Consider the following 12,109-nt stretch of genomic DNA (forward strand, 5'->3'; position numbering starts at 1 on the left):
TAAGTGCTAGGTGCTGTGAAGAAACACAGCGTTTAAGACAGGATCCCTGTCTTCCAGAAGCTTTTCAAATAAACGGATTGATTCCAGGAATAAATAGCTTAACCTTTCTGAGCCTCAAATCTGTCTTTGGTAAAATAGAATAATTATATTTCACCCCGTAGTTTTGAAGATAACATGAGAATGGGTGTAAAAGACCTGTTGTCAATGCGTATCTCAAACACTAAACAAATATCTTTTAAAAATATCATACCCTAAGAGTCTGGCGCGGTGGCGTCTGCCTGTAATTACAGAGATGGTGAAACCTTGTCTCTATAAACACAAACACACACATATTTTTTGACAGTCTCACGATGTCACCCAGGCTGGGGTGCAGTGGCACGATCTCGGCTCACTGCAATCTCTGCCTCCCAGGTTCATGCAGTTATCCTGCCTCAGTCTCTCGAGTAGCTGGGGTTACAGGTGCATGTCACCACACCCGGCTAATTTTCGTATTTCTAGTAGGGACGGGGTTTCACCCTGTTGGCCACGCTGGTCTCGAACTACTGATCTCAGTTGATCCACCTGCCTTGGCCTCCCAAAGTGCTGAGATTACAGGCGTCAGCCACCACACCCAGCCTACTTATATTTTTAAAAAAATAAATAGGAACCACGTAAGTAATTTAAAACTGTCTATTAATGACATTTCAAAAAAAGTAAAAAGAAACGAAATGAATTTTAACTATATTTGACTTAGCCATAGCCAAAGTATTATCTTTTTTTTTTTTTTTTTTTTTTTTTTGGAGATGGAGTCTCGCTCTGTCACCAGGCTGGACTGCAGTGGCGCGGTCTCTGCTCACTGCAACCTCCGCCTCCTGGGTTCAAATGATTCTCCTGCCTCAGTCTCCCAAGTAGCTGGGATTACAGGCACGTGCCACCATGCCTGGCTTATATTTGTATTTTTAATGGAGATAGGATTTCACCATGTTGGCCAGGCTGGTCTTGAACTCCTCACCTCGTGATCTGCCCGCCTCAACCTCCCAAAGTGCTGGGATTACAGGCATGAGCCACTGCGCCCGGCCTCAAAATATTATCTTTTAGCATGGTAATCAACATAAAAATTACTGGTTATAAAAATTAACTGGATATTTTGCATTCTTTTCTTGTACCAAGTCTTTGAAATGCGGTGTGTATTTTATACTTACAATTTGTCTCAATTTGGCTGGAAACATTTCAAGTGGTCAATAGCATGTGTAGCTGGTGGCTACTGTATCATCCTCAAAAACAGAGGCTTTATCAGATTCAGGCTGGTGAATGACTGTGTGGATGAAGTCTTTCTCAAAGATCCTTCTCTAGAAGCCTCCCCTGACCTGCCAGGCAGTGTTTGGGTCTCTTGTCTCCTCTTCGGTCTGGTCCCTGTAGCCCTTCAGACAAACTCCTCTTTGTGGAGGACATGAGAGCAGGAGGCACAAGGGGAAATTCTCATTCCCATCCATACACCATTGGGACCACTTGACATTGGGGTGCTTGGTATTTCATGAATAAAGAAAGGATTGTGAGCCCCAGAAATGACAGGGTTCAGAGGAACACCATACGCTAAAGCAGCTTCTATGACGCCATTAAAGATTATGTCCCAGCACAAAAGTTTTTTCTGGTTTGTTTGTTGTTTTTTTTTAGATGGGACTCTCACTATGTTGCCTAGGCTGTCCTGGAACTCCTGGGCTCGAGTCATCCTCCCACCTCAGCCTTTCAAGTAGCTAGGACTACAGGCACACACCACCACATCCAGCTCCAGAAGAAATGTTTCTGATATGTGTTCCTAGAATTCCCTTCCCAGGACTTAAGAACAGGAAAAACAGTGGAGCTATGGACTCTCTCCCCTTCAACCAGAGAAGGTTTGCTTTTTATCTGATTTATTTACTAGTATTCTGCATAGAGAGTTTAATTTTGTTTTTAAGTTTCCTGCAAAAAATATTTGAAAATCAATTTAAGGACATAGTGATAAGAGTAGGGAGCACATTAGGTGCTGCAGATTGAAAGACTGGATTGGCAGCCTGGGATCAGATTGCATTTCCTGAGCCTGTAAGTGTCTTGGGCTTGCCTAGCCCTGGTTTAGGAGGGAGAACCTGATCCAGCCTCAAAGATCTCATGGTCTGATGAAGTATAGGACTTTGCATATGAAGCTATCAGAAGAGGAGGAAAAAGTCCAAGGCTGGGCTTTAGAAAACCTTCAAGTCTGGCCTGGCACAATGGCTCACGCCTGTAATCTTAGCACTTTGGGAGGCTGAGGCAGGCGGATCATGGGGTCAGAAGATCGAGACTATCCTGGCCAACATGGTGAAACCCCGTCTCTACTAAAAATACAAAAATTAGCTGGGTGTGATGGTGCATGGCTGTAACCCCAGCTACTCGGGAGGCTGAGGCAGGAGAATCACTTGAACCTAGGAGGCGGAGGTTGCAGTGAGCCGAAATCGCGCCACTGCACTTCAGCTTGGCGACGGAGCGAGACTCCATCTCAAAAAACAAAAAACAAAAAAAAAAAAACCACAAACAAACTTGAAGTCTGTCTTGGCTCAGACAGACAGATTGAGATTTTAGGCTAGGCCCCACCCTTCTCTGTCTCAAACTCTTCCACTGGAAAACAGAGGTTGAACTAGATGATACCTTTGAGCTCTCATCTTCTATGATACACTCTTCAGAATAATAATTAAGGTTTATGCATATAGCATGTTGCTCATAGTTCTTTAATACCATTTAGGTCATCATGCTTTGTGCTCTAGTAAATTGCATCTGTGCCTAATATCTGTCTCCCCCACTGACTATAAGTCCTTTGAGGTTGCGTCTGATTCATTTCTGTGTCCACCCACTGGGCCTGACAGAGGCAGGCCTGAGCACACATTTGCCTTCACTAAACATCCATAATGTTAAATTGCTTTAATAAAGTACTAATATGTGTAGAACAATCAGACTCCAGGTAACTTGGAAACACTTTTGTGGCACAGGTATGGGAAGGGCCAGAGGAAAGGGAAGCAGGTGGACAGGTGGAGCTGTCCGTAAAGGCTTCTTGAAGGAGGAGAAATGCTGACTTGAAGAGGGTAGGAAGAGGGCACAATCCCAAATGGGCTGTTTCTTTTTTCTACTCTCTCACTAGCTTTCCCTGAATAGGTGAGTTCTTGGTAGGTGGTGTGCATGTATGCTTACAAGCAGCTGAGAGACAAGGACATTGAACCTGGACATTTAGAAGTGAGATAATATGAAAGCACTTGGTGGGGTAGAATAGAGATCACAGACAGGTTTTGGAGACAGATTAGGATGGTTGTAACACAGTATGGCCTTTGATTAGTCATATGAGATCTCCCATATTCATAAATATTCAATGTATATTTATTGAAAATCTTCTTGGTGCCAGACATAGTGTTACATGCCAATCATGAAGTAGAGAAAACTGCCCTGATATAACTGGTAAGGGAGATAGACCTTAAACAGGTAATCATACAAAAGTAGAGTGCTGCTGGGCATGGTGGTGTTTGTCTCCAGTTCTAGTTCCTCAGGGGGATAAGGCAGGAAGATTGCTTGAGCCCAAGAGTTTCAGACCAGCCTGGGCAACATAGCAAGAACATTTCTCCAGAAAAAAAAGTACAGAATACTGTAAGAGCATATAACAGAGCCAACTTCTCAGTCTTAGTTTCATTTTAAAATGGGAATGGCTGGGCGTGGTGGCTCATGCCTCTATTCCTAGCACTTTGAGAGGCCAAGGTGGGACAATCACTTGAGCCCAGGAATTTGTAACCAGCCTAGGCAATCATAGCAAGACCCCATCTGCATACACACACAAAAATTAGCTGGGCATAGTGGCACATGCCTGTAGTCCCAGTTACTTGCTAGGCTGAGGTGGGAGGATCACTTGAGTCTAGGTGTTTGAGGTTGCAGAGAGCTATGATCATGCCACTGCACTACAGTCTGGGTGACAGAGTGAGATCCTGTCTCTAAAAACTAACAAATAAAAAACAATAAAATGGGACTGGCAAGTGCTGCATGAGATTGTGAGTATTAAACGACATAATGCATGTGGAGCCCTCGTAAATTGCCCTAGGGTACAGCAAATAAACATTAGTTAATTTCTCCACACTCCCTTGATGTTTTCAGGTATCCCCCCGCCCTTGGTTAATTCTTCCCTCTCTCTCAATGTCAAAATGCTAAAGCTGACTAGTTTCCCTGAGAGAGGAGGGGACAGAGAGTGAGAGGAGAAAGGCCCTGAACTGATCTCACCAGTGCCCTGAGGATTCCAAAGGGGTCTTCCCAGCCTATTCCTCACTGAACTCCAGCTCCAGGAGCTCACCAGTGATCCACAGGGGTCTTGGCTTAGCCCCAGTCCCAGCCCCTTTAGGTTACCCTTAAATCTGAATTCTCTTTTGCCTCTGCTGTGGCTCCAGGGGACTCAGCCTTCTTGGGGCTCCTCTTGATCCTTTGGTCTTCCCTCTCTCAGCCAGCCTCAGGAGTAGAACACAGTTTCCTCTTCATTATTTCTTTTTTTTTTTTGAGACAGAGTCACCCAGGCTGGAGTGCTGTGGCACGATCTCTGCTCACTGCAACCTCTGCCTCCTAGATTCAAGCAATTCTCCTGCCTCAGCCTCCTGATTAGCTGGAATTACAGGCATGCACCACCACGCCCAGCTAACTTTTTCTATTTTTAGTAGAGACAGGGTTTCACCATGTTGGCCAGGCTGGTCTCGAACTCCCGACCTCAGGTGATCCGCCCACCTGGGCCTCCCAAAGTGCTGGGATTACAGGCGTGAGCCACCGTGCGTGGCCTTTATTTTATTTTTTATTTTTTGAGATGGAATTTTGGCCTGTAGCCCAGGTTGGAGTGCAATGGCACGATCTCAGCTCACTGCAGCCTCCACCTCCCGGGTTCCAACGATCCTCCTACCTCAACCTCCTAAGTAGCTGAGATTACAGTTGCCTGCCACCCGCCTGGCTACTTTTTTGTATTTTTAGTAGAGATGGGGTTTCACCATGTTGGCAAGGCTGGTCTTGAACTCCTAACCTCAAGTGATCCACCTGCTTCGGCCTCCCAAAGTGCTGGGATTACAGGCATGAGCCCCTGTGACTGGCCTCCTTTTCATTACTCCTCTTTATTGCTGCCCCCCAAAACAAGTCCAATATCCCATTTTGTGGGCTTTGATGGGCCAGACAGGAGACAGCAGAAAGAACTAAAAAGAGGTGACAAATTAAACAAAGTTCTAGAGTCACAACCTCTGATCTTTTTTCTTTTTTTATTTTTTTTCTTTTGTTTTGGAGATGGAGTCATGCTCTGTCGCCTAGGCTGGAGTGCAGTGGCGCAGTCTCGACTCACTGCAACCTCCACCTCCCAGGTTCAAGCCATTCTCCTGCCTCAGCCTCCCGAGTAGCTGGGACTACAGACGAGCACCACCACGACGGCTAATTTTTGTATTTTTAGTAGAGATGGGGTTTCACCATGTTGGCCAGGCTGGTCTTGAACTCTTGACCTCAAGTGATCTGCCTGCCTCAGCCTCCCAAAGTGCTGGGATTACAGGCGTGAGCCACCACATCTGGCCAATCTTTTGTTCTTGACTCTCTCAAGGAACTAAATGGATGAAGGGTGTGTGGACAATGGCCATGCCCTATTTTCCAAGAGGGTCCCTTCTCCCAGGCAGGCAGAACAATAGTTGTCCCGTTAGCCTCCAGGACAGCTTTGCATCTTTGACATTTTCTAAGCCCAGTGGTAGTACCCACATCATCTGGCATAATGCCCCTCTGGGAAAGTTCTCCTTCCTCAGTCCTGGTATTCTAAGAGCAACCCAACTATAGCTGCCCAGTTGATTCGGGATTCCCTGGGGAAATTTTCCCCAATTCTCATCTTTGCCATTTACTTGCTGTGTGATCCTGGAGAAGTTGCTGAATAATAATTTAGGAAAACAACTTAGATATGTTTTACATATGCTTTACACGTATTAACTCAATAAATATAACAAGTCTATAAGGCAGGTAATATTATTTCAATTTTACAGATAAGAATACTCACAGATAGGCCAGGTGAGGTGGCTCACGCCTGTAATCCCAGCATTTTGGGAGGCCGAGGTGGGTGGATCACCTGAGGTCAGGAGTTCAAGATCAGCCTGACCAGTATGGTGAAATCTTGTTTCTACTAAAACAAAAAGTACAAAAATTAGCCGGGCATGGTGGTGTGCACCTGTAATTCCAGCTACTCGGAGGCTGAGGCAGGAGAATTACTTGAACCAGGGAGGTGGAGGTTGCAGTGAGCCAAGATCATGCAATTTCACTTCAGCCTGGGTGATAGAGCAAGACTCTGTCAATAGCAAAAGCAAAAACAAAAACAACACAAAACAAAACAAAAAACCTCACAGATAGCAAAATTGAACGTGTCAGTTTTAATTTCCTTTGTAAGATGAATCTAAATTGTGTTACACCTCAGGATTGCTATGGATATTCATTATATGAGATAACATGTAAGCTCCAGGAGGGCAAGAAGTTTTGCTTGTTTTACTTAGTGCTATATTCCTAGTGCCTAGAACAGTGCCTGGTATGAAAATACTTTGCTCAGTAAATATTGGTTGAATGAATGATTGAATGTAGCACGTTTAGCATAATATCTAGCAGACAATAGTATCTTCCAAAACCACAGCTATTATTTAAACTTGATCTGTCTTGCCTGCTCACCTGGTCATCTAATCAATCACCAAATATTTCGCAAATCTGAACACTTTTCTATTCCCGTCATTATTGTCCAAATTAGACTTCAGGTCTTGTCCAAGGTCACACAGCGGTGAGCTGGGTTATCAGTACAGGTCTGTCAGACCATGTCACTTGTTTCCAGCTTCTACCTTTTCCAATACTTTCTCAGCACTATTGCCAGAATAATTTCTGCAAATCACAGTTACCTGATCTTGGTGTAATTCTTTAACGGCTCTGAAATTCCTTGCAGAATAAGAGCCAACATTTTTGAGCACATTACTCTACGCGAAGCACTGTGCCAATTGTTTTACACTTATGAACTCATCTAAGCCTTACAGGATCCTACTTTTTTCAGATGGAGGAATCGGAGGTCAGAGAGATTGAGTAACTGGCCCAGAGTCACACAGCATTGCTTGGATGTGAATCTAGGCAGTCTGATCCTAGAACCCCACTTACTCACCCACACACCCCAATCTGTGAGTCTGCACAGCCTGACTGCTTTAGACTGTTACTTGTCCTTCCTCTGTGCTCCCTCACCTATTCCTGTACCAATCCCTCTCGAGACATATTGACATGTACTAATTATCTCTACACACACACACACACACACACACACACACACACACACACTCACCCCATTTTTTTCCCCGTAAAAATGGACCTCTTTGAGAGTAGGAACTAAGTTGTTACAAATAGGTGCTCAGTAGGTGTTAAATGAATGAATGAACATTGCAAGCAAGATTCTAGAACTCACTCTGAATGAGGAGATGATTCTCTGTGTGAAACTAGCCTAGGAAAAGCTGTTGCTAGAAGCTAAGGTCTCTCCTCACTCTCTACCCACCCAGACCTTGGGCAATTTCTCAGCGATAGCTATACTTTCCATTTTTGGACACCAGGGAGCGCTACTAATAATGCAACCCAAACTAGGGGATTCCTAAATTTTTCTGAGCAGATTTTGGACTCTCAATTATTATTTCTAGCAAAGTCTCCCTCATTTTCTGAATGAAAGCTATTGGTAACCAGAAACTCTGCGGTGTGAAGAAAGGACAGTTATGCTGCTGTACAGAACACACATCATTCATTTATTCACTTAGCGAAACGTTTATTGAGTACCAGCTATGTAATGGGCAACCTAGACTGTGAAAATATAAAGATGGATAAAATGCAGCCCTTGATGAGCTCAGAGGCTAATGTAGAAGATATACGCTTATTAAATAATCATAATTCAGCTGCGCATGGTGGCATGTGCCTGTAGACGCAGCTACTCGGGAGACTGAGGTGGGAGGATCTCTCGAGTCCAGGAATTCAATGCTGCAGTGAACTATAATTGCACCACTGCACTTTAGCCTGGGCAACAGAGTGAGAACCTGTCTCTAAAAATAAATAAATAAATAAATAAATAAAAAAGAATATTCCTATTCAAAAAATAAAACTCACTTAAGTCCAGGAGGTTAAGGCTGTAGTAAGCCATGATCATACTACTGCACTCCAGCCTGAGTAACAGAGAAAGACCCTGTCTCAAAAAAAAAAAAAAAAATCATAATCAAATTACATAAGTACTCTAAGGTATAGAAGAAGACTGAAGAGACAGGGCAAGTCAGGCAAGGTGTTAAAGTGGGGTGGAGCTTTTGAGTTTTGCTAAAAATCATAACCCTTGATTTATGGTAAGGTAACATCACTGGTCAGGGCATGGATGCTTTTATTTCATTTGAGCTGAGACTTGAAGGATGGGGAGGGAATCCCAAAGAAGAAAGCAAGCTTGGCTCTCACCTACCACTTTATCTCCTGAGCCTCAGTTTCTTCATCTTTAAAATGAGTAAAGTAGTCCCCTCTTATCCATGGAGAATGTATTCCAAGACCCCAGTGGATGCGTGAAACTGCATATAGTATCAAACTCTATATATATTGTTTTCCTATACACATACCTATGATAAAGCTTAATTTATAAATTGTACACAGTAAGAGATGAACAAAAATAACTAATAATAAAATAGATCAATTGTGGTCTCTCTCTCTCCTCTCTCTGTCAAAATATCTTATTGTACCATACTCACCCCCCAGGTTTTTTTTTTTTTTTTTTTTGAGATGGCTCGCTCTGTCACCAAGGCTGGAATGCAGTGGTGCAATCTTGGCTCTCTGCAACCTCTGCCTTCTGGGTTCAAGCGATTCTCCTGCCTCAGCCTCCCGAGTAGCTGGGATTACAGGCACGTGCCACCACACCCTGCTGATTTTTATATTTTTAGTAGAGACCAGGTTTCACCATGTTGGCCAGGCTGGTCTTGAACACCTGACCTCAGGTGATCTGCCCTCCTCGGCATCCCAAAGTGCTGGGATTACAGGTGTGAGCCACTGCACCCGAACCCCATAGTCACCTATTTTTGGACAGAAGTTGACCTCAGGTCAACATGGGGACCACCGTGTAGCCCCTGTTTTATCTAGCAGAGCTTCTGTGAGGAAGAGATGAGATAATACATGTGAAAACTCTTGCAAACAGTGGAATAGAGGCATAAGAATTAGTTAATCCAATTTGATTTAGCCAACATCTTCAGAACATCTAAGCAAGGCCCTAAGATTAATGCAAGGGAGATATACTGCATAGGTATAAAAAGAGAGATGGGGAGAAAGCTCTCTGTTTCCTCCTGAAGCTTACAATATGTTGAGGGGGTCCTTTCTTTTTTTTTTTTTTTAAACAGATTTTTGCTCTATCACCTGGGCTGGAGTGCAGTGGCAATCACAGCTCACTGCAGCCTCGACCTCCTGGGCTCAAGCCATCCTCCTGGCTCAGCCCCCTGAGTAGCTGGGACTACGGGGACACACCACCATGCCAAGTTAATGTTTGTATTTTTTTGTAGAGACAGAGTCTCACTATGTTGCCTAGGCTGGTCTCAAACTCCTGGGCTCTAGTGATCCTCCCATCTCAGCCTCCCAAAGTGCTAGGATTTTAGGTGTGAGCCCTAGTACATACCTGGGTTCTTGCAAGGGTCACACTTTTAGAAGGACGAAGCATAGGGGCTTATAGAGATGAGGGTCACAGATTCTGATCAGGTTTCAGAATTTTTTTATTTTGTAGAATATTAAAGCTGCACTGGGTCAATAATCTGGTAGCTGACCAGTTTATAGTTGGGGAGACTGAAATTCAGAGGGGAACTGACTTTTCTAGTGTCACATCGTGATCTTGGAGGCAGAGAAGACACCAGAAGTTTCTTCCTGTTGCCCAGGCTGTGGCTTTGGCTCCCAGGTACCATTTATTTGTTATTTTATTTTATTTTTGAGATGGAGTCTCACTTTGTCACCCACGCTGGAGTCCGGTGGCGTGATCTTGGCTCACTGCAACCTCTGCCTCCCAGATTCAAGTGATTCTCCTGCCTCAGCCTCCTGAGTAACTGGGGTTACAGGCACACGCCACCACGCCCAGCTAATTTTTGTATTCTTAGTAGATACGGGGTTTCATCATGTTGGCCAGGCTGTTTTCAAATCACTGACCTCAAGTGATCTGCCGGCCTTGGCCTCCCAAAGTGTTGGGATTACAGGTGTGAGCCACGGCGCCTGGTCATTTATTTGTATTTTTAATTGTGGTTAAAAAATACATAACATACATTTTGCCAGCTTAATTTTTTTTTTTTTTTTTTTGAGACAGAGTCTTGCTCTGTTGCCCAGGCTGGAGTGCAGTGGCGCGATCTCGGCTCACTGCAAGCTCCACCTTCCAAGTTCATGCCATTCTCCTGCCTCAGCCTCCTGATTAGCTGGGACTACAGGTGCCCGCCACCATGCCCGGCTAATTTTTTGTATTTTTAGTAGAGACAGGATTTCACCGTGTTAGCCAGGATGGTCTCGATCTCCTGACCTCGTGATCTGCCTGCCTTGGCCTCTTAAAGTGCTGGGATTACAGGCGTGAGCCACCGCGCCCGGCCTCATGTTAATCATTTTTAAGTGTACAGTTTAGTCATGTTAGGTACATTCGCATTGTTGTGCAGCCAATCTCCAAAACTTTTTTCATCTTGTAAAATTGAAACTATTCCCAGCTTTCCCCTCTCCCCAGTCTCTGGCAACCACTACTCTACTTTCTGTCTCTATGAATTTGACTGTTTTAGGTACATTCATATAAATGAAATCACAGTGTTTATCCTTTTGTGACTGGCTTATTTCACTTAGCTGGCTGTCTTCAAGGTTCATCCATGTTGTAGCATGGTCAGGATTTCCTTCTTGCTTAAGGCTGTGTACTATTTAATTGTACGTATGTACCATATTTTGTTTATCCATTCATCTATCCATGAACAACTTCGGTTGCTTTCACCTTGTGGCTGTTGTGAATAATGCTGTTATGAACATGGGTGTACAATTTTCAAGACCCTGCTTACATTTTCTGGGTGTACACCCACCATTGAAATTGGTGCATCATAGTAACTATTGTTAGTTCTTAGACACCATTTTAGCGTCACAGGAAATTCGACAGCTTCCAAGAGGTTTAAGGTCTTGGTGTAAATTGGTAACAGACCCTGGCTTCCTGCCTCCAAGATCTGTTTGTTGTACCAAATAGATAAGCACCCATAACCCCGAAGAAATCATATGGTGGTGAAAAGAAATGCTGTAGTCGAGTTTGAAGGAAATTGTGTTAAACATGCTTTACTTTGCTCATTTCTTTCATGTTCTCTTAGGCAAATGAGTGCACAGGCAGGAGAGCTGGCTTAGGTAGAAATGATCAACTGTCAGTCTGAGTGATTAATCTGGGCTGCAGACATGTTTTCTGTGGCCTATATAAGGTTTTATCCTTTTAAACGAATTGCTAATATTTTTTTAAAAAGGATATGTCATATGAAAGTCCAGATTTCCATCTTCTCTCTCTCTCTTTTTTTTTTTTTTTAATTGAGACAGGGTCTTGCTCTGTTGCCCAGGCTGGAGTGCAATGGTGTGATCATGGCTCACTGCAGCCTTGAGCTCCTGGATTTAAGCGATCATCCCCCCTCAGCCTGCTGAGTAGCTGGGACCACAGAAGCCAGATACCACTCATGGCTAATTAAAAAAATTTTTTTTGTAGAGATGGGGGTCCCACTGTGTTTCCCAGGCTGGTCTTGAACTCATGGGCTCAAGTAATCCTCCCACTTTGGCCTCCCAGAGTGCTGGGATTAGAGATATGAGTCACTGCACCCAGCCCCATCTTCTCTTAATGACACTCCAGCAATACTAGGCCCATCTTTCTGCCTGCTCTCCACAGTCCCCACCACTCCGTATTACTCCTACCTACTTTTCTTAATTGAATTACCTACCTGCCCATTTTGCCATTTGAATTTAAGACCCCTGGCTCAGAGAATAGGTCTAGGAGAACCTAGGTAGGGTTTCAACTGTTCTGGTCAATTTTCCAATATTCCGGTATTAGTTTTTAGTATCTGAGTGTTCAAGTGAATTAACTCATGTAATC

The 12,109-nt window shown here is 44.0% G+C and overlaps 1 annotated feature.

Moving 5' to 3' along the window:
- Positions 13-62: a silencer, noted in NCBI's record as "silent region_3088". NCBI's record gives its function as "represses an Ori minimal core promoter by ATAC-STARR-seq in GM12878 lymphoblastoid cells {active_cell/tissue: GM12878}" and the evidence as "EXISTENCE:reporter gene assay evidence [ECO:0000049][PMID:35858748]".

The sequence above is a fragment of the Homo sapiens genome, chromosome 11, assembly GCF_000001405.40.
Source record: "Homo sapiens chromosome 11, GRCh38.p14 Primary Assembly".
Taxonomy (NCBI): domain Eukaryota; kingdom Metazoa; phylum Chordata; class Mammalia; order Primates; family Hominidae; genus Homo; species Homo sapiens.